Source organism: Homo sapiens, chromosome 9 (assembly GCF_000001405.40).
Source record: "Homo sapiens chromosome 9, GRCh38.p14 Primary Assembly".
NCBI classification, from domain to species: domain Eukaryota; kingdom Metazoa; phylum Chordata; class Mammalia; order Primates; family Hominidae; genus Homo; species Homo sapiens.
Genome location: NC_000009.12, coordinates 33,335,219 through 33,358,172, shown reverse-complemented (window position 1 = coordinate 33,358,172; position 22,954 = coordinate 33,335,219). Strand labels below are relative to the sequence as shown.

General features: G+C 42.5%; 1 protein-coding gene and 1 long non-coding RNA gene across 7 annotated transcripts in view, besides 1 other annotated feature; one reads left to right on the top strand and one right to left on the bottom strand.

Annotated features, from left to right (window-relative positions):
* The window catches only part of NFX1 (nuclear transcription factor, X-box binding 1), an 80,642-nt gene that overhangs the window by 12,985 nt on the left and 44,703 nt on the right, over nt 1-22,954 (bottom strand). The window contains exons 12-19 of one of the 6 annotated variants that reach the window (NM_001318758.2): nt 19,584-19,666; nt 15,319-15,427; nt 13,985-14,104; nt 11,056-11,135; nt 6,383-6,613; nt 5,454-5,527; nt 3,986-4,087; nt 3,281-3,322 (exon numbers count right to left, since the gene is read on the bottom strand). In NM_001318758.2, the coding sequence (NP_001305687.1) occupies nt 3,281-3,322; nt 3,986-4,087; nt 5,454-5,527; nt 6,383-6,613; nt 11,056-11,135; nt 13,985-14,104; nt 15,319-15,427; nt 19,584-19,666 (841 nt within the window). Of the gene's footprint in view, nt 1-3,280; nt 3,323-3,985; nt 4,088-5,453; nt 5,528-6,382; nt 6,614-9,441; nt 10,511-11,055; nt 11,136-13,984; nt 14,105-15,318; nt 15,428-19,583; nt 19,667-22,954 lie in introns of those variants that run through there. The other 5 variants (NM_002504.6, NM_147134.4, XM_047423427.1 and 2 more) reach the window with 5 other exon arrangements.
* On the top strand, nt 6,580-9,380 carry LOC105376018 (uncharacterized). Its single transcript, XR_929561.2, has 2 exons — nt 6,580-6,662; nt 9,301-9,380. It is a non-coding gene; the product is annotated as an uncharacterized LOC105376018 (long non-coding RNA).
* Nucleotides 17,536-17,736: a silencer, noted in NCBI's record as "peak7217 fragment used in MPRA reporter construct". NCBI's record gives its function as "represses an SCP1 promoter by STARR-seq MPRAs in K562 erythroleukemia cells {active_cell/tissue: K562}" and the evidence as "EXISTENCE:reporter gene assay evidence [ECO:0000049][PMID:32103011]".

Sequence of the window (22,954 nt, the reverse complement as noted above, 5' to 3'; positions counted from 1 at the left end):
AGCCTGGGAAACAGAACGAGACTCTGTCTCAAAAAAAAAATTACAAGTAATACAAGAAAAATAAACCCATCTATAGCAGCATCAAAAAGCAAGAAACAAATCTACTGAAAGAATACAAAATTTATATATAGAAAACCATAAAGTATCATTGAGAGAAATCAAAGAAGACATGAAATGCAAGAATACACCTTCTCTTGGACTAGAAAATTTAACATTGTAAAGATTCCAAATTGACCTACAAGTTAAATACCAACTCAATCAAAATCCCAGCAGGTTTCTTGGGTATATATTATAATAACAAGCCAATTGTGAAATATAAGTGGAAATGGGCTGGGTGCAGTAACTCATGCTTATAATCCCAGCACTTTGTGGGGCCAAGGCAGGAGGTTCGCTTGAGCCAGAAGTTTGAGACCACCCTGGTCAACATAGTAAAACCCTGTCTTTACAAAAGAAAAAAAAAAAAAAAAGAAAATCTTAGCCAGGCGTAGTGGTGTGTGCCTGTAGTCCTATCTATTTTGGAGGCTGAGGCACGAGGATCCCTTGAGCCCAGGAGTTCAAGGGTACAGTGAACTATGATTGTGCCACTACATTCCAGCATGGGTGACAGAGCAAGATCCTATCTCAATAAATAAATACATAAATGAAAAAGACATTAAGTGGAAATGTAAAGGGCTAAGAATAAAGAATAATCAAAGACAATATTGAAGAAAAGTCATGGTTGAGGATATATACTACCAGATATTAAGACTTGTTATAAAGGTACAGTAATTAAGACAGTGTGATACTAGTGCAGTTGAACAGGATGAGCTCAGAAACAGACTCACATATATATATATATTTGATATACTTTATTTATTTATTATTATTTTTTGATGCGGAGTCTCCCACTGTCGCCCAGGCTAGAGTGCAGTGGCACCATCTCGGCTCACTGCAAGCTCCGCCTCCTGGGTTCATGCCATTCTCCTGCCTCAGCTTCCCGAGTAGCTGGGACTACAAGTGCCCGCCACCATGCCCGGCTAATTTTTTGTATTTTTAGTAGAGATGGGGTTTTACCAGGATGGTCTCGATCTGCTGACCTTGTGATCTGCCCACCTCAACCTCCCAAAGTGCTGGGATTATAGGCACCACCATTACGGCCATGGTGAGCCACCATGCCCGGCTTATTTTTTTTTTTTTTTTTTGAGACAGCATTTCACTCTGTCACCAAAAGTATAGTCCAGACTGGTGATCATGGCTCACTGTAGCCTCAACCTCGCAGGTTCAAGCAATCTTCCCACCTCAAGCCTCCCAAGTAGCTGGGACTACAGGTGTGCACCACCACACCTGGCTAATTTTATTTTATTTTTTGTACAGATGAGGTTTTGCCAAGTTGCCCAGGCTTATATGTGATGTATGACAGAGGTGGCACTGCAGAGTGCTGGGAAAAGGACAATCTTGGTACTCGTCAAATGGATATTCACGTGGAAAAAAGCTGAATTGTAAACTCTCCTTATCCATACTCAAAAAAATCAGTACAGGTCAACTGTAGATTTAAAATGTGAAAGGTAAAATAACACAGTTTCTAGATAATAACAGAATATTGTCATTGCCTCAGGATAGACAAATTTTTCTAAATAGGACATGAAAAGTGCTTATTAAGAAACTCAAATAAACTGGATAATATTAACATTAAAAATTTCTGTTTATCAAAAGACAACAAGAGTTCTTTAGCTTCTGGGATTAAAAAAAGGCATCAAGAGAGTAAAAAATGAAGGTACAGAGTGCAACAAAGTACTCACAATGTATACATAGAGCCAACAAAGGACTCATATTCAGAATACATAAAGAATTCCTACTAATCAATACAAAAAGAGCACAAAAAAATAAGCAAAGGACTTGTACAGGCACTTCAAAAATGAGGCTATCCAATGGCCAGTAACTACAAGAAAGGTGCTCAATCTCTTAAGTCATCAGGAAAATAGAAATTAAAAGCTCAATGACATCTTGTTATACACATCTACAAAATGGCTAAAATTAAAAAGTGACAATTTCAAGTGCTGACAAAAATGTACAGCAATGGGAATTATCCTTAGCTGGTGGGAGTGTAATTTGGTACAATCACTTTGGACATGGGCAGAATCTACTAATGCTGAACACACATAAACCCTATTAATCAGCAATTCTACTTCTGGCTTATATCCAACAGAAATGTACAGAAATATAGAGCAAGCAAGTTTAAGAATGTTCTGGGCTGGGCGTGGTGGCTCAAGCTTGTAATCCCAACACTTTGGGAGGTCGAGGCAGGTGGATCACCTGAGGTCAGGAGTTCGAGACCAGCCTGGCCAACATGGTGAAACCCCATTTCTACTAAAAATACAAAAATCAGCTGGGCATGGTGGTACACACCTGTAATGCCAACTACTCTGGAGGCTAAGGCAAGAGAATCGCTTGAACCCGGGAGGCAGAGGTGGCAGTGAGCCAAGATCATGCCATTGCACTCCAGCCTAGGCGACAAGAGAAAAACTCCATCTCAAAAAAAAAAAAAAAAAAAAGAATTCTTAACAGTTTTATTTGTAATAGTCTAACAGTTAATACAAAGATATCCATTAACAGTATAATGGGTAAATGAATAGTAATACAAAAAAAATCATGCAGGAATAAAAATGAATAAAGCATTGCTACATGCAACAACAGGAGTGAATGTCACAAAAATATAACGAAAGAAGCCAGACAAAAATAATACAAACTACATGATTTCATCACTTACATAAAGTTCAAAAACTAATCTAAAGAGAAATTAGGATAGAGGTTTCACCTTTATGTAGAGTACAAGAGACGGTTCTGGTAATTATCTTTTCACCTGTATCCATACTCAACTGTATTCATTTAGTGACACAAATGATTACACAACTGTAATCATTTAGTGACGATTCACTGATCTGCACACTTCCAATCTTCAATATGTATGCTAAACTTCAACGAAAAGTTAACTAAACATTGTTTTAAACCTCTTATCTCTGAGTCAGGAAGTTGGCCAGTCCCTGAATAAGTATGCTGTGTTATGTGATGTTTATATCATGCCCAAAACCACACAGCTCATGTTTCTCAATATGCTGAAATCACCTGAGTGGTTTATCCTTAAGACAATTCAATTCTTGGTAACGGCATTTCTCTTGCTCTTTGATAACGGTAAAAGACGCAGCGCAGTGCTGAGTGAATGACGTTTGAAGGGTTGCTCCCTCCCATTAATTTCACAGAGCTCAAGGGCAAGGAGATTAAAAAAGCAGCTGCAACTACTTACTTTTTCCTTTCCAAGGCTGAACACTCCTCATCACACTCCAGCCTTGATAAGCAAATGAAAAAAAATTAAAGTCAGAATACAGACTGTACAGCTCCCATCCAGCAAGAAAAGGAAGTCTCAGTCAACCTGGAAGCACAGCTGACTCTTGCCAAAAAACAATCCCTCAGGCCAGGAAGCAGCCTGTGAGGCCACCTGCTCTTCAGTTTCCATTAGTAACCTTGCCCTAGAAATACCATTTCCCCAGGGACCCCAATCCAGGAATGGCTGGATGAGGTCCCTCTGAAGGACAGGTGGGATGATGGCCTCTCTGTTATGGGGTCTAGGAGTCCTCCAGTGGCCTCAGAGTGTTCCCTGGCTGCTCAGCCCCAAATGCTCCACAGGTGCCCCTCTTAACAGCCCAATCTCCCTCTCCAGAGATGGCCACCTCTCTGGGTTCTCTATTCTCATATGGGTTAAGCTAAACACCTATAGGTCTCTGCTTCCTTCGGTTACTGTGAGGCCTGGAAAAGTCTCCTTTAGTCTTAGCCATCTCCTGAGTAGGATTCATTGGGGATGGAGCAGATGTCTCAACATCAAATTGTCTATTGAATACTTATTGTGTATGCAAGGCTCTACTATGAAGGATTGAGATAAATGAATAATCTCTGCCCTCTAATTGAAGTCTAATTGAAGAAAGAAGGCACATATATGCATTTTAAAAATTACCTGGCTTGATGAACTTCCTTTTTGGTAATTAACTTGCTGATCTCCACTGAACCTCCAAGCTGCATGTCTGTTATCTTAGAGGCCATGGAGATTGCAGCTATTCTGAAATATAAAAAAGAAAGGGAAAAAGAGGCATTGCAGTTTCACAAGAACCTCCTTATACTTGGGATACAGAAGACCTCTTTAAAAGCAAATCTAGGCCAGGTGTGGTGGCTCACGCCTGTAAGCCCAGCACTTTGGGAAACCAAGGCAGGTGGATCACCTGAGGTCAGGAGTTCATGACCAGCCTGGCCAATATGGTGAAACCCCGTCTCTACTAAAAATACAAAAAATTAGCCAGGCATGGTAGCAGGTGCCTGTGATCCCCGCTACTCAGGAGGCTGAAGCAGGAGAATCACTTGAACCTGGGAGGTGCAGGTTGCAGTGAGCCGAGATTGCACCATTGCACTCTAGCCTGGGCAACAGGAGCGAAACTCCATTTCAAAAAAAAAAAAAAAAAAAAAAGCAAATCTATCAGATGAAAACTGGTGTGGCCTTGGAAGCCCGGCTACTATGAACTACCTACATATTTATGTCATATCTCTTCAATTATATTCAAAGCAGCTACATGGGAAGCGATGAGGTGACTCAATCCCTCAGTATCCCCTAGAGCAACACTTGGCACTTAGTAGGTATTCAAACACAGCCAATCTGATGTGTGCATCCTCTTAAAGTCCTATATCCATGGCACCTCTCCCCATCTAACCAGATATATATATATATAACCATTCATTCTCTAACACCTCCATCTCAGCACTCAGATCCCTGTACGGCTACACAGGTCCCAAGACTTCAGGAGGCTGCAGAGATACCTCACAGAACAATTAGAAACCCTCACACCAGAGGAGCACAGAGCTTAGCCCTGGCTGTGTCAATGACAAATGGTAGGATGTGAAAGCAATTCACCTAACTTCAGGACATCTTCCCTTCTTATCTCACAATGTAATACGACCAAAAGAGAGAAAAAAAGAAAGAGGAAGGAGGAAGCGGAGAAATTTCAAAGTTATTTTACACACTAAAGTTAGGGAAGAAAAGGTATATAAAGCAGCACTGTTTCTTTGAACTAGAGAAACCAGATTTTTAAAAATGTATGTAAGAAACTTTCCAGCCAGGTGTAGTGGCTCACGCCTGTGATCCCAGCACTTTGGGAGGCCAAGGTGGGAGACCAGCCTGGGAAACAGGGCGAGACCCCTCTCAATAAAACAAAACAAAACAAACAAAAAAACCTTTCCAGCTTTTAGAAAAGTTGCAAGGATACTATGATAAACACATGTATCTGTGCAGTGGTGTTTACAACTGATTACAACAGTTACAGACTTCGTTTCTTCTCCACTCCCACTGCTTCACTTGACTAGCTTTAAAAACAAAACAAAACACATGTATCTGTTTCACCTAGGCCATCAGTTGTTAACATTTAAGTAACACTAACCTTTGATAAGTACTAGATGCTTCAGAGCAAATCACCATCTCTTTTCTTCGTCCACATTCACACTGTAGCTCTACCTGAAGTCAGATGAACATGGAACGACTTTTAGCACACTGGAACTATGTGAATAAAGCACTTTTCACTCTTAAATCCTCTCTTAAACCATAGCAGAGACTAGAGAGTCAGTGGGTGGCCACTCTCCAAGCTGGAAGAAGCTAACCACACATGCAAACTGACACAGTTGTTGACATGCTAGGAAAGAATTGCCCCGTCCACAATGCCCCCTTTTGGAAACCACCTCTGTTCTTAATCCTGGCTGAAGGGGCAGGCCTAGGATGAAGTTTGTACCATCAGAGACAGACACTTGCCCTAGGCCCAACTGTGGCCTAGCCAACTCCAAGCCAACTCCACATCCTCAAGGTGGCCACACTTGATCCTTTAGACCAGGCTTAACCTCCCATTTACCTGCTCTCATAGCCCCCTCCACAAGGCTTAAACTACTCCCTCATGACACCACAGCCATAATTAGTTATCTAAGTAATAATCAAGTATCTGTCCTATCAGATTGTGAGGAACCATGTGTCTCTTGTTCACTAATTTATCCCTAGCACCTCATACTATGTCTTGCACAAAAGACATTTATACATTTATTAAATAAATGGAGTAAACAATCAGTGACTATTGAGAATCTCACCCAAGGGAGACACAGACTGTGGTCCGGTGGCAGTGGGTACCTGCTGAATCAAAAGGCCATACCAAGTTGGGCAGGCAGAAACTTGTATGACTTACTCTACCTTTCTCTAACTTGTGGTTATTTGCAACCAATGACCCTTAATTAAGATGCATGCCCAGGGGCCACTGTAGACAGTTCTGGATTCACTAGTAGCCTCAGAACTACAGTCAATGCTGCATCTGTGGCCAGAAATACCCACCTTAGCTTTACAAGCAGTCACAGGGCAGGGTGAGCTGGTATGGCAGGGTGCCATACACGGGTGACCACAGTCAGCTCTGGGGGTGGTGCAGGGCTGCTTGCAGGGCTCATCCACAAGACACTCCCCTTTGTGACAGAGTCTCTGACATTTGTGCATCCCACATGGTAGCGTGGCACTGCAGGGTAATCCGCAAGAGATATCAACCAGGTGACAGGGGATGTTGCTCCGAAACTAGGAGAGACAGAAGTAGCCAGATTCTCATCTCCATGTGGGATTTGGGGTGAGTTTTAACTTTCTCTTTAAACATTTCTAAGCTTATGGCAGGGTTTGGTTTTGTTTTGTTTTCGGATATAGGGTTTCACTGTTGCCCAGGCTGGAGTGCAACAGTGTGATTATGACTTTCCTGGGGCTCAGGTGATCCTCCCATCTCAGTCTCCCAAGTAGCTGGGATTGCAGGTGCATGCCACCACGCCCAGCTAATTTTTGAATTTTTTTTTAAGAGATGGGGTTTCACCATGTTGCCCAGGCTGGTCTCGAACTCTTGAGTGGAAGCGATCCACCCGCCTAGGCCTCCCAAAGTGCCGAAATTACAGGTGTGAACCACTGCATCTGGCAATAACAGTTTGTATTTATTTATTTATTTTGAGACGAAGTCTCACTCTGTTGCCCAGGCTGGAGTACAGTGGCGCCAATCTCGGGGCTCACTGCAACCTCCACCTCCAGGGTTCAAGTGATTCTCCAGCCTCAGCCTCCCGAGTAGCTGGGGTTACAGGTGTGTACCACCACGACCAGCTAATTTTTGTATTTTTAGTTGGGGTTTCGCCATGTTGGCCAGATGGCTGGTCTTGAACTCCTGACTTCAAGTGATCCACTTGCCTTGGCCTCCCAAAGTGCTGGGATTACAGGCATGAACCACCACACTCAGCTCAGTTTTTAAAATAAGGATTATTATTACTTTAATTTTTAGAGACAGGGTCTCACTATGTTGCCTAAGCTGGACTTGAACTTCTGGGCTCAAGTGAGCCTCTTGCCTTAGTCTTCTGATTAGCTGGGACTACAGGTACATGCCACTGCATCCAGCTTAAAAGCTGTATTTTTAAAAAAGCTCTATTTATCTGAAAAGAAATCAGTTTGATTTTCAAAGTCTGAAAGGTTAGTTTGAGATGAAGAAAACAAACCTTAACTTTATTTAATAATCCCTGTTATGACTCAAAAGGATTTGCAGCAGAAGCCAAAAATGTGATCTGGAACATAAACTTTCCAAAGTGACAACAAACAAATGTAACTAGGTAACTAGGGAGTGCTTGAAAATGCTATGACTAACTGGCAGGGGCAGATGATCTTTTCCCTCCTTTCTGAACTGCTAAAGCAGAGTCAATAGACTAATTCTTATAGATGCGGGGTGGAGGGCAACCTTAGCCCAGGGTTCTGAGACTGATGGCAGGGCCATTTTTTCGTTTTATTTTGCCTTTTTTTTTTTTTTTTTTGAGATGGAGTCTCGCTCTGTCGCCCAGGCTGGAGTGCGGTGGCGCCATCTCAGCTCACTGCAACCTCCACCTCCTGGGTTCAAGCGATTCTCCTACCTCAGCCTCCCAAGTAGCTGGGACTACAGGTGTGTGCCACCATGCCCAGCTAATTTTTGTATTTTTAGTAGAGACAGGGTTTCACTATGTTGGCCAGGCTGGTCTCCAACTGCTGACCTCAGGTGATCCACTTGCCTCAGCCTATCAAAGTGTTGGGATTACAGGCATGAGAAACCACGCCTGGCCTGTTTTGTTTTTTTTGAGGCAGAATCTTGCTCTGTTGCCTAGGCTGGAGGGCAGTTGCACAATCGTGTCTCACTGCAGCCTTGAACTCCTGAGTTCAAGTGATCCTCCTGCCTTAGCCTTCCAAGTAGCTGGGAGTACAGGCATGCCACTAAACCCAGCTAATTTTTGTATTATTTGTAGAGACAGGATCCCACTAGGTTGCCCAGGCTAGGAGGCTGTTTTCTGTAATTAAATACTTAACTCTCCTCATGTCTCCCAACTCATGGTCTCCACAGCTTCACGCAGTCCTGTCCTTTAAAAAATTAAGAGACAACAGGGGATAGAACCCCCAATTCTTTTTTTTTTTCTTGAAAAATGGCCTGTTTCCACGCTTCCTCACCATAGGAAAAAGCTGCTGAAATTTTACTCTCGTAGGACCAAAGGCTAGTCTTGAACCCTCGAAATGAGGGATATACTTCTACTGCAGTGACACACAACTTCTCCCCCTGAAGAGACTTCCAACATCTAGGACATACATATTTCCCATCGCACTGGAATCCATATTTTAGTAGAATGTAGTTCTCAATCATTAAACACTTACCCATTCTACTACCAGGGCAAAGGGGATAATTTTTGCCCATGCTCTGCCCTGTCATCCTCTCCACATTACTTTCTTCTCACTATCCTTTAGGATGTTAATTTTTCCAGAACACCTGGAGAGCCCTTCCATCCTCCTTAGCCCTCTGTATTTCCCGCATTACTGCTATTGTCTGTTTTCATGCCTGCCTCCTAACCCAAAGTGAAGGCTTCATAAGGGCAAGGGTTAGTCTCGTTCACTTCCAAAGCACCCAAACCTAGCCTGTTACCTAGCACATAGTAGGTACTCATACTCGATATCTGTTGAATGAAGTCTTAATAAGCCATCAGTACGAAGATAACACATTGATGTTTTAGAATGGATAAACTGGAAAAGGTGAGACATATAGAAAAGAATAAATACCAAGGACTTGAGAACCACCCACAGGAAATCAGTGGAGGAATATACGTCCATGAAGATAAAAGAATATAGCATGTTGTTATAGATGTCAAGAGTTTCATGAAATGTTGGCCAATACGTCATGATGCAAAAAAAGCAGGTTACAAAACAATATCTTTTTTTTTTTGGTATAGGACAGTTGGAATGTAGCAAACAGTATCATCTTAACCACAGCAAGGAAAAATGTGTACCACGTCTGGTGGTTTATATGCCAGAATGGTAGAGTATTTCTTTCTCAGTAGCAGAATTAAATCTTCTCAACTGTACAATAAATATGCATTTCTTATTGGACTTCACTTTATTGCATTTCATAGATATCACATTTTTTACAAATTGAAACTTTGTGGCAACCCTGTCTCCAGCAAGTCTATCTGTTCCACTTTTCCAACAGCACATGCTCATTTCGTGTCTGCATCACATTTTGGTAATTCTCGCAACATCTCAGACTTTTTCATTATTATATCTGTTAGGGTGACCTGCAATCAGTGATTTTTTTTTTTTCTTTTTTCTTATTTCAATAGTTCTTGGGGAACAGGTGGTGTTTGGTTACATGGATAAGTTCCTTAGTAGTGATTTTTGAGATTTTGGTGCACCCATCACCCGAGGAGTGTACATTGTACCCAATGTGTAGTTTTTAAAATTTATTTTTTTTTTCGAGACGGAGTCTTGCTCTGTTGCCCAGGCTGGAGTGCAGTGGTGCGATATTGGCTCACTGCAACATCCGCCTCCCGAGTTCAAGCAATTCTCCTGCCTCAGCCTCCCAAGTAAAGTAGCTGGGATTACAGGGATGCGCCACCAGGCCCGGCTAATTATTTTAGTAGAGATGGGGGGGGTCTCACCTTGTTGGCCAGGCTGGTTTCGAACTCCCGACCTCATAATCTACCTGCCTTGGCCTCCCAAAGTGCTGGGATTATAGGCATGAGCCACCGTGCTCGGACCCAGTGTGTAGTTTTTTATCCCTCACCCGCCTCCCGTCCTTTCCCCAGAGTCCCCAAAGTCCATTGTATCATTCTCATGCCTTTGCGTCCTCATAGCTTAGCTCCCTCTTATAATTGAGAACATACGATGTTTGGTTTTCCATTCCTGAGTTACTTCACTTAGAATAATGGTCTCCAAATCCATCCAGGTTGCTGTGAATGCCATTATTTCGTTCCTGGCTGAGTAGTATTCCATGGTACGTATAGATACACCACAATTTCTTTATCCACTTGTTGACTGATGGGCAGTTGGGCTGGTTCCACATTTTTGCAATTGTGAATTGTGCTGCTATAAACATGCGTGTGCAGGTATCTTTTTCATATAATGACTTCTTTTCTTCTGGGTAGACGCCCAGTAGTGGGACTGCTGGATCAAACGGTAAATCTACTTTTAGTTCTTTAAGGAATCTCCACAGTTTTCCACAGTGGTTGTACTAGTTTACATTCCCACCAGCAGTGTAAAAGTGTTCCCTTTTCACCACATCCACGCCAACATCTATTATTTTTTGATTATTGCCATTCTTGCAGGAATAAGGAGGTTATTAAAAAAAAATTTGGTATTTTAAAGTAAAATGATTGGAACAGACAACATTGGTTTTCAGAAGTTGGAAGTAGGGGACATTGAGTATACAGGGGCATGAAGGATATTTGGGGGTGACTGAACTGTTCTATATCTTGATTGTGGTAGTGGTTTGATGGTATGTATGCTTTTGCTAAAACTCATGGATCTGTACAATAAAAAGGGTAAATTCTGTTGTATGCAAATTATATCTTAAGAAAAAATTTTTAAGCAATGGAAAGCTTCTACTTCTGAGTGTATTTACTTTGACAGACGATGAGACTAACAATTCTTAAGTAATAAAATCATGAACCTCTGCCTGGAACAATGAGCACTTGAGAGAGAAAACTTACCTCATGCTTGCCCATGCACCACTTCTGAGTTAGGAAAGTGCAAGGGGGACACTTCTCCTCACTATGACAAGAATGATATACTGCAGAAAGAGAAAGGTAACTTTAGGAATACTTTCTAAATAAAGCCATGTAAACCATTATACATCATATAAGTGGCATACGGCATGAAACTTTTAAATTCAGAAACTGGGAGTACTTTTGAAAAACGGTCACAGGAAAGTAAAAAGTACCTTGCTTTATGTTAAAGTGTTGAAGGACAAGCATGAGTGAGAAAAAGAAACCCAACCAAGGAGGAAGAGACATGCCAAAACAGAAGCAGATGAGGCAGCTTTCCCATCTCATCTCTTGCAGCACAGCCATATGGTCCATCCAATTCTACTACGTCATTCTTTTGGCCCTACTTTAACCGCAACTGCTCACTTCTGCTCAGATATCTTTGCTATTAATTCCATCTAAAATGCTTCTGCTGACTCCTTCCAATTTCATTACTGCCTATAAGGGGAGGTTCATCAAAACTCACCTCCTACAATGAACCTTTCCTTGGCTACCACACTCTCGTCTGGGCTCCCTCACACTTCCTGGTGTCTCAGTTCCTATGCAGATGGGTTGCTGCCACATTATTTAGCCCATCTTCATGTGAAGGGTGGTTGTATCATGTGTATTGAACTACTGTCCTCCTCCTCTCGGAGAATGTTAAGAACCTCAAGGTCACAGGGTATTTTTCTCTTCCTCTGAAGTTCCCTCTATGTCTGACACCATGTTAGAAATACAATAAACACTTAAGAAAATGGAAATGAATGGGGAACAAAATAGGCTAAAACAACACAATTCACAAATGGTGAAGTTCTTACTATGGACCTTGCCCAGCAGCATTTGGAATTCATCTGCAGGTTAAGTGTAAAGGAGGCAATCGGTGGGGACTGGCCTGGGCATGTACTTCATGCTGGTATGAATGCCACAGGAGGGGCTTGCAAACTACGCTGGGAGGGCTATCCTAAGATCCCCAAGGAAGGAGGGAACATTCCACTTAATGAAGAATTTGTTAAGTTCTGTTTTACTCCATTAACTTAAAAAATCAAGAGTTGGTTTTCTAGTTTTAAGTCTGAATCATACTGCCAGACTAACTGTGGGTATCAAATCTGGTCCCCTGAATTACTTCAGGTTTGCCTCTGGTATTTGGTAAAATGAAATGATGGGCCCGGTATGGTGCTAGAGAAAAGCCAGCAACTAGACTTGACAGATACGGAAATTGAGTGATGTCAAATGGTTGTTGGCCTGGTATCTGAGCAGTTTATCAGAGGAAAACTGAAAACACTAAAATGTCCAGCAACACAAGACTGACTGAATAAGTTATGGCCCATCCATGTAACAGGACACTCAATTGAAATTAAAAGTTTATATTGTAAAAAAATACTTACAAGGGGACAGATCAAAAATATAATAATAAGAGTGGGAAAAAAAGCTAGTTAAAAGCATTAAGTTCAGTAGGATCCCACTTTTACATTGGGGAAAAAATGCAAACATATATATTTGCACATGGCAAAAGACCCTGAGAAATACATATAAGGTATAATTCTTTGGAGGTGACATATAATAGATTATTTAATTTCAAACTTTTGACTTTATCTCTCTTTTTTTTTTGAGACAGAGTCTCACTCTGTCACCCAGGCTGGAGTGCAATGGCACAGTCTCGGCTCACTGCAACCTCTGCCTCCCGGGTTCAAGTGATTCTCTTGCCTCAGCCTCCCAAGTAGCTGGGATTACAGGCGTCCACCACCACGCCAGGCTAAGTTTTGTATTTTTAGTAGAGACAGGGTTTTACCATGTTGGCCAGACTGGTCTCAACCTCCTGACCTCAGGTGATCCACCTGCCTCAGCTTCCCAAAGTGCTGGGATTACAGGTGTGAGTCACTGCACCCGGCCTTTTTTTTCTTTTTCTTTTTCTTTTCTTTTTTTGAGATGGAGTCTCACTCTGTTGCCCAGGCTGAAGTGCAGTGGCACAATCTTGGCTCACTGCAACCTCTGCCTCCCGGATTCAAACAATTCTCCTGCCTCAGCCTCCTGAGTAGCTGAGATTACAGGTGCCCGCCACAATGCCTGGCTAACTTTTGTATTTTTAGTAGAGACATGGTTTCACCATGTTGGCCAGAGTGGTCTCGAACTCCTGACCTCAAGTGACCCGCCCATCTCAGCCTCCCAAAGTGCTAGGATTACAGGCATGAGCCACTGTGCCTGGCCTCTATTTTCTTTTTTGAGACAGAGTCTTGGTCTGTCGCCAGGCTGGAGTGCAGTGGTGCGATCTCAGCTTACTGCAACCTCTGCCTCCCGGGTTCAAGTGATTCTCCTGCCTCAGCCTCCCGAGTAGCTGGGACTACAGGCGTGCACCACCATGCCCAGCTAATTTTTGTATTTTTAGTAGAGACGGGGTTTCACCATGTTGGGCAGGATGGTCTCAATCTTTTGACCTCATGATCTGCCCCTCCTTGCTCTCCCAAAGTGCTGGGATTACAGGCATGAGCCACTGCGCCTGGCCCTGGCCTCTATTTTCTTAATTTTAATACGATAAATATATATTGCTTCTATAACAACAAAAAAGTCACTTTTAATTTTGTAAAAAGATGCTAAATTTCAAAACATGCACCAAAGTGGAGACCACAAAGAAAGAAAAGTTCTTGAGAGATAAGATCAGCTGGGGAGTCTTCCAACGTTTTTAGGTGTGTTTGACATCCCTAGAGTAAACCAATGGAGGGCACTGTGATTCCAAGCTGTGGCCCAGATCACAGACCCACCTTCAGAGAACCAGCCCCTGAGCCGGGAGCAAGGGGCAGCCATCACAGCATGACTCTAGAGCAGTGAAGACAGTAACACAGCAGGATCCTAAATGACATGGTGTGAGCAGGCTGAAGTGTGAAGACAAGTTGGTACTCACCTGGATGGTCACACTCATGGACTCTAGCGCAGGTTTGGGTACATTCAGGGGGCCTAGTACCACAGGGAACTGGAGGGTAAATCACTGATGCACCACAATGGCAGGTTAATTCATCAAAACCTGGTGGAGCAGCAGGTAAAACAAAAGAATCCTTTCTGAGTTTGGGATGTGCAAGTACATACTAACACACACAAACACACACATTTTTGCTTGTATTTTTAGAGGAGAATTTATGGGGGTGCTACTTTTTTCAAAAGAGGTTTTTATTTTATTAAACTTTTATTTTATTAAAGCTAAGCTGGTGAAAAAGGCATGAACAGATATGAAGTTTCATTTATTACTATGACCCTGACAACTTCCCAATACTTTTCCCAACATATTTCTAGACTGGAGATTATATTAATGACTGAGTTTTTAATATTATAATAGGAAATTTATCAACATTTCAAAGATCACATAACTCAGTGAAGAATTATTTTCCAAATGATCAATGTGGGCTATTATAAAATCATGCACGGGTAAAAAGATCCATTCAAAGTACAAGAAAGTCCAATAAATTTTTGTGACAGAGAATAAAAACACCGAGTCAAGTCCTTTCTAAAATGAGGTTGAATTTTGGTGTAATTTCAAAGAATATCAATAATTATTTGAAAACATCTTTAAAATACTCTTCCCTTCTCCTGTGTAAGGCTATCTGTGTAAGGCTGGATTTTTTTCATATGCCTCAACTATATCACGACAGACTGGATGCAGAAGTAGATACAAGAATCCAGCTACCTTCTATTAAACCAAGTATCCGCTATTCTACTTTTTTGAAAAGTTATTTAAAAAAATTTTTGTGATTACATGCAATGAGGTATATTATTATTCTTAAATATACTAATCAATTATTTTTTAAATTTCTCAGTTTTAATTTCTAATATGGTAGATAAAGATAAATACAATTCACATAAAAATGACTCTTTAGGATAGTTTTTGGTAATGTAAATGAGCCCTACAACCAAAAAGTTTGCAAACTGCTGCTAATAATATAGAGAAAGAAGATTGTTGAGGACAGAACCTAGGTCAATAACACATATGAGGCATGTAGCAGAGAAGGAATCTATTAACGAACTAGGCCCCATCTCAGGATCACTGTTCATATCCCAAGTTTTGCACATTCAGGGACTACAACACAGCATTAGAAGTAACTTTAAAAAAAGTCTCAACATATTGGAAATACGAAGGCTTAGTTCAAGAATCCATACAATTCTAAGTAAATCAATCTCTCAAAGTATATTATGTCTGAATTTCTAAAAAACTCTTCTAATAAACTATACAGTAAAGACACTCACTGGCTTGCCAGCATGTCTGGCAGTTTCCACGATGACAAGGTTCTTCACACCTATGAAGGCCACAACGGAGTTTCCTCCCACAAATCAAAGGACACTTGTGCTCCTTATCCTGGGAAAAGAGATTTATATTTGTTCATAAAATGGTCTTCATTTTATATTTTCCATAAATAACAACAAGATTAATAAAAACAAAGCTCTACACATTTATGGATAAAATGATATCTGGAAATACCTTCAAAATAGCCACAGAAGGGAGAGTAGGTGGGGATGAAGATAAAACAAAATTCGTCATGAGGTGATCAATACTGAAACTGGATGTTGTGTATATGGGACTCTCTATACTAGTAGTCTCTCTGCTTCTGCATATATTTGATACATACATATATATTTTTTGAGATGGAGTCTCGCTCTGTCGCCCAGGCTGGAGTGCAGTGGAGCAATCTTGGCTCACTGCAAGTTCCGCCTCCCAGGTTCACACCGTTCTCCTGCCTCAGCCTCCTGAGTAGCTGGGACTACAGGCATCCACCACCATGCCTGGCTAATTTTTTTGTATTTTTAGTAGAGACGAGGTTTCACCGTGTTAGCCAGGATGGTCTCAATCTCCTGACCTCATGATCCGCCCACCTTGGCCTCCCAAAGTGCTGGGGGGTTACAGGCATGAGCCAGTTTGAAATTTTAAAAAAATATATTTTATTTTTACATCGTGTGTGTGTGTGTGTGTGTGTGAGAGAGAGAGACAGAGACAGGGTCTCACTCTGTTGCCCAGGCTGGAGTGTGGTGGTGCGATCTTGGCTCACTGCAACCTCCACCTCCTGGGTTCAAGCAATTCTCCTACCTCAGCCTCCTGAGTAGCTGGGATTACAGGTGCCCACAACAATGTCCAGGTAAGTTTTGTATTTCTAGTAGAGACAGGGTTCACCATGTTGGCCAGGCTGGTCTGGAACTCCTGACCTCAAGTGATCTGCCTGCCTTTGCCTCCCAAAGTGCTGGGATTACAGGCATGAGCCACCGCATCCAGCCTTATTTTTACATTTAAATCTATTTATTTAGAGACCGGGTTATGAAACTGGCTAATTTTTGTATTTTTGGCAGAGATGGGGTTTTACCATGTTGCCAAGGCTGGCCTTGAATTCCTTGGATCAAGCAAGATCCACCCACCTCGGCCTCAAAAAGTGGAATTACAGGTGTGAGCCACAATGCCTGGCTGCAAATTTTTTTATAATAAGAGGAAGTCTTTAAGCCTTCTAACACTAGTTTATAATACTTGCACAATTCATCACTCTTCACTTAAATATATAAATTTAAAAAATAATTATGTATGCTATATACATACATACACACGTACTACCTTGCTATTGGTACTGTGTTACCTTGTTTATGTATATATATATACACTGATACAGTTTGGCTGTGTCTCCACCCAAATCTTATCTTGAATTCCCACATGTTGTAGGAAGGACCTGGTAGGAGTTAACTAAATCATGGTGGGGGAGGTCTTTCCCGTGCTGTTCTCATGATAGTGAATAAGTCTCATGAGATCTAATGGCTTTATAAGGCCGAGTTTCCCTGCACAAGCTCTCTCCCTCTGCCTGCTGCCATCCATGTTAAAATGTGACTTGCTCCTCCTTGCCTCCCACCATGATTGTGAGGCCTCCCCAGCCACTTGGAACTGTAAGTCCATTAAAACTCTTTCTTTTGTAACTTGCCCAGTCTTGGATATGTCTCTATCAGCAGTGTGAAAACAGACTAATACAGTAAACTGGTACCAGCAGAGTGGGGCACTGCTGAAAAGATACCCGAAAATGTGGAAGTGACTTTGGAACTGGGTAACAGGCAGATGTTGGAACAGTCTGGAGGGCTCAGAAGAGGACAGGAGAATGTGGGAAAGTTTGGAACTTCCTAGAGACTTGCTGAATGGCTTTGCCCAAAATGCTGATAATGATATGGACAATAATGTCCAGGCTGAGGTGGTCTCAGATAGAGATGAGGAATTTGTTGGGAACTGGAGCAAAGGTGACTCTTGTTGTTTATCAAAGAGAGTGGCAACATTTTGCCCCTGCCCTAGAGATCTGTGGAACTTTGAACTTGAGAAAGATGATTAAGGGTATCTGGTGGAAGAAATTTCTAAGTAGCGAAGCATTCAAGAGGTGACTTGGGTGCTGTTAAAGGCACTCAGTTTTAAAAGGGAAACAGAGCATAAAAGTTTGGAAAATTTGCAGCCTGACAATGTGAGAGAAAAGAAAATCCTATTTTCTGAGAAGAAAATCAAGCTGGCTGCAGAAATTTGCATAAGTGACAAGGAGCCAAATGTAAAACCCCAAGACAATGGGGAAAATGTCTCCAGAGCACATCAGAGGTCTTCATGGCAGCCCCTTCCATGACAGGCCTGGAGGCTCAGGAGGAAAAAATGGTTTTGTGGGCTGGCCCCAGGGTCCCCCTGCTGCATGCAGCCTCGGGACTTGGTGCCCTGCATCCCAGCCACTCCAGCTGTAGCTGAAAGGGGCCAACACAGAGCTTGGGCCAAGGCTTCAGAGTGCAGGCACCAAACCTTGGCAGCTTCCATGTGGTGCTGAGCCTGCGGGTGCACAGAAATCAATAACTGAGGTTGGAAACGTCTGCCTAGGTTTCAAAAGATGTATGGAAATGCCTGGATGTCCAGGCAGAAGTTTGCTGCAGGGGTGGGGCTCTCATGGAGAACCTCTGCTAGGGCAGTACAGAAGGGAAATGTGGGGTTGCAGCCCCCACACGGAGTCCCTACTAGGGCACCACCTAGTGGAGCTGTGAGAAGAAGGCCACTGTCCTCCAGACCCCAGAATGGGAGATCCACTGACAGCTTGCACTGTGTGCCTGGAAAAGCCACAGACACTCAATGACAGCCTGTGAAAGCAGCTGGGAGGGGGGCTGCACACTGCAAAGCCACATGGGCGGAGCTGTCCAAGACCATGGGAACCCACTTCCTGCATCAGTGTTACCTAGATGTGAGACATGGAGTCAAAGGAGAGCATTTTGTAGCTTTAAGATTTGACTGCCCCACTGAATTTCGGACTTGCATGGGGCCTGTAGCCCCTTTGTTTTGGCCAATTTCTCCCATTTGGAATGGCTGTATATACCCAATGCCTGTACTCCCATTGGACCTAGGAAGTAACTAATTTGCTTTTGAATTTACAGGCTCATAGGCAAAGCGACTTGCCTTGTCTTGGATGAGACTTTGGACTGTAGACTTTTGCGTTAATGCTGAAATGAGTTAAGACTTTGGGGGACAGTTGGAAAGGCATGATTGGTTTTGAAATGTGAGGACATGAAATTTGGGAGGGGCCAGGGGCAGAATGATATAGTTTGGCTGTGTCCCCACCCAAATCTCATCTTGACTTCCCACATGTTGTGGGAGGGACCTGGTGGGAGGTAATTGAATCGTGGGGGCAGGTCTTTCTTGTGCTGTTCTCGTGATAGTGAATAAGTCTCATGAGATCTGATGGCTTTCTAAGGCCATTTCCTGGACAAACTCTCTTTCTCTGCCTGCTGCTATCCATGTGAGAAGTGACTTGCTCTTCCTTGCCTTCCACCATGATTGTGAGGCCTCCCCACCGACTTGGAACTGTAGATCCATTAATCCTCTTTCTTTTGTAACTTCCCTAGTCTTGGGTATGTCTTTACTGACAGTGTGAAAATGGACTAATACATACATACACATTTATATATACATGTTATGTCATATATAGCATACGTTATATTTTTTATATATAAAAGAGTATATGAGATAACAGAGTACAAATAGCCAGCTAGTGATTTAATTAGTTCCATAAAAGCAAATATTTTAAATAAATATTTTATTTTAAAAAATCTTTTTAAAAAATGTCCTAATAATTTTTCCTACTGACCTGACCTAAGCAGTACATGAAACCTGAAGCCCAAGTTGCTAAGTCCAGGCCAGTTTGTGTTGGGACAACACACAATCTTCTGCCGAAGACTGTGTGCTCATCTAGGGGTCTTGGGCTCTGGGGTGTGAGACCTTCTCTTATCTCTTTCTCTTCCTCTGTGTTGCTACCAGATGCCACTGGCTGACTTCTTAACCTGGGTGAGGCTAAAAAGGCCCAGTCTGTCTCTTTGCAGAGAGGTTATGGGGACTATGAGAGCTCTCTGACTGCTGCTTAGGGGCCTGTCCCAGTGACTTTTAAATCCGGGCTGCATTCTCCACATGGCTCAGGCTTCCAGAAGCCCAGCACCTGGATGAATGGAATCTGATTATGCCTAATAAGTCCACTTACCACACAGCATATCTCATTACATTTATGCCGTCCACACAACCGTTTCTTGTTACACCGCTTGTCACACATAAATGTAGCATCTGCTGTGGCAAATTAAAAAGAAAAAAAAAACCAGACAAAGGATATGAACATTCATACAACAAATATTTGAGTAACTATAGGCTCAAAGAATACAATAGTAATAATACAATTGTAATAATGTAAATGCAGTTTTTTTTGTTTTGTTTTGTTTTTTGAGATGGAGTCTTTCTCTGTCGCCCAGGCTGGAGTGCAGTGGTGTGATCTCGGCTCACTGCAACATCCACCTCTCAGGTTCAAGTGATTCTCATGCCTCAGCCTCCCAAGTAGCTGGGCTTACAGGTGCCTGCCACCACACCCAGCTAATTTTTGTATTTTTAGTAGAGGCAGGGTTTCACCATGTTGTCCAAACTGGTCTTTAACTCCTGATCTCAGGTGATCCACCTCCCATGGCCTCCCAAAGTGCTGAGATTACAGGTGTGAGCCAACACGCCTGGCCTTTTTGCTTTCTTTTTTTTTTTCTGAGACAGGGTCTCACTCTGCTGCCCAGGCTGGAGTGCAATGGCGCAATCTTGGCTCACTGCAACCTCCACCTCCCAGGTTCAAGCGATTCTCCTGCCTCAGCCTCCCGAGTAGCTGGGATTACAGGTGTGCGCCACCACGCCCGGCTAATTTTTGTATTTTTAGTAGAGACAGGGTTTCGCCATGTTGGCCAGGCTGGTCTTGAACACCTGACCTCAGGTGATTCACCTGCTTTGACCTCCCAAAGTGCTGGGATTACAGGTGTGAACCACCATGCCCGGCCATCAGTTTTTGTTTTGTTTTGTTTTGTTTTGTTTTAAAGAGACAGGGTCTCTTTCTGTCACCCAGGCTGGAGTGCAGTAGCATTAACATAGCTCACTGTAACCTCGAATTCCTGCACTCAAATGAGCCTCCCATCTTGGCCTTCCAAATGTTGGGATTACAGGTGTAAGCCACTCTGCCCAGCTGAAAATGCATATTAAAATATCAATTTTCACCTTTAAAACTCAAAAAATAAAAAAAATAGCAACGGTAGTGTTTAAGGTGTGGAGGAGAAGCCATGCTCATCTTAGTAGATGGGTGTACAAACTTTTGGAGTCCATGGGGGACTGATTCCAGGACCTCCCTTGGATATCAAAATCCACAGATATTGAAGTCTCTTATACAAAATGGTATAATATTTGCATATAACCTATGCACACCCTCCCTTATACTTCAAATCTTCTCTAGATTACTTATAACACCAAATATAATGTAAATGCTATTAGAAAATGATGAGAAAAAATTTTGTACATGTTCAGTACAGATGTAATTTGTTTCTTTGAATATTTTCAATCTGTGGTTGGTTGAATCCATGGATATGGAACCCATGGATATGGAAGGCTGGCTGAGTGTGTTTCTATCGAAAATTTAAGTGTGGCTAGGGCAGGAGGATTGCTCGAGCCCAGGAATTTGAGACCAGCCTGGCCAACATAATGAGACCCTGTCTCTACAAAAATTTGCTCACTGCAACCTCCGCCTCCTGGGTTCAAGCGATTCTCTTGCCTCAGCCTCCCGAGTAGCTGGGATTACAGGTGCCTGCCACCATGCCGGCTAATTTTTTGTATTTTTAGTAGAGACGGGGTTTCACCTTGTTGGCCAGGCTAGTCTTGAACTCCTGACCTCAAGTGATCCGCCTGCCTTGGCCTCCCAAAGTGCTGGGATTACAGGCGTGAGCTACTGCGCCCAGCCCTGGAAAAACTTTTAAAAATTAAGTTTTTAAAACTTAATTAAAAGTTAATTAAGCAAAGGGCATGGTGGCACATGCCTGTGGTCCCAGCTATTTGGGAGGCTTGTGTGGGAGGACCACTGGAGCCCAGGAGATCAAGGCTGCAGTGAGCTGTGGTCTGCCACTGCACTCCAGTCAAGGTGACAGAGACCCTGTCTTAAACAATAAATAGATTTTAAAACCTAACATTGAGATATCAGAGACATCACATCATGTGGTAGTGATATATCACTTCACTAGGATGGCTATGATTTAAAAAGCCCCAAAAATGGTCGGTGCGGTGGCTCACGCCTGTAATCCCAGCACTTTGAGAGGCTGAGGCAGGCGGATCACGAGGTCAGGAGTTCGAGACCAGCCTGACCAACATGGTAAAACCCCATCTCTACTAAAAATACAAAAATTAGCCGGGCGCGGTGGCGGGCACCTGTAATCCCAGCTACTCGGGAGGCTGAGGCAGGTGAATCACTCGAACCTGGGAGGTGGAGTTTGCAGTGAGCTGAGATAGCGCCACAGCACTCCAGCCTGGGCAACAGAGTGGGACTCCATCTCAAAAAAACAAAAACCAAAAAAACCCAGAAAATAACAAGTATTGGCAAGGATGTGGAGAAAATGAAACCCTCATACACTGATGGTAGGAATATAAAATGGTGTAGCCACTGTGGAAAACAGAATGGCAGTTTTTCAAAAAAATTAAACACAAGATTACCATTGGATCCAGCAATTCTACTCCTAGGTATATACCCCAAAGAAATGAAAATAGGTATTGGAACAAAAACTTGTATACAAATGTTCATAACAGCACTATTCACAATAGCCAAAAAGTAGAAACAATTCTAATATCCATCAACCAGTGAATGGATAAAATGTATATTCATAAAATGAATTATTATTCAATCATAAAAAGGAATGAAGTGCTGATATATACTACAGTATGATAAACTTAGAAAACATGCTAAGTGAAAGAAGCAGGGCACAAAAGAATATATATTGTGACTCCATTTAGATGAAGTATTCGAAAATAGTAAATCCATACAGATAGAAAGCAGATCAGTGGTTACCTGGGGGAGGACTGAGTGGGGAGTAAATGCTTAATTAATACAGGGCTTCCTTTCAGGGTGACGAAAATGTTTTTCCCCAGCACTTTGGGAGGCCAACATGGGAGGATCACTTGAGACCAAGCATTCAAGACCAGCCTGGTCAACAAAGTGAGACCCTGTCTCAACATATTTTTAAAATAAAATTTAAAAAAAGGTTGGGCACGGTGGCTCATGACTGTAATCCCAGCACTTTGGGAGGCTGAGGCAGGCGGATTACATGAGGCCAGGAGTTCGAGACCAGCCTGGGCAACATGGTGAAACCCCGTCTCTACTAAAAATACAAAAAAATTAGCCAGGCATGGTGGTGGGTGCCTGTAATTCCAGCTACTCAGGAGGCTAAGACAGGAGAATTGCTTGAGCCCAGGAGGTGGAGGTTGCAGTAAGCTGAGATTGCGCCACTGCACTCCAGCCTGGGCAACAAGAGCAAAACTCCGTCTCAAAAAAAAAAAAAAAAAAAAGAAAAAGAA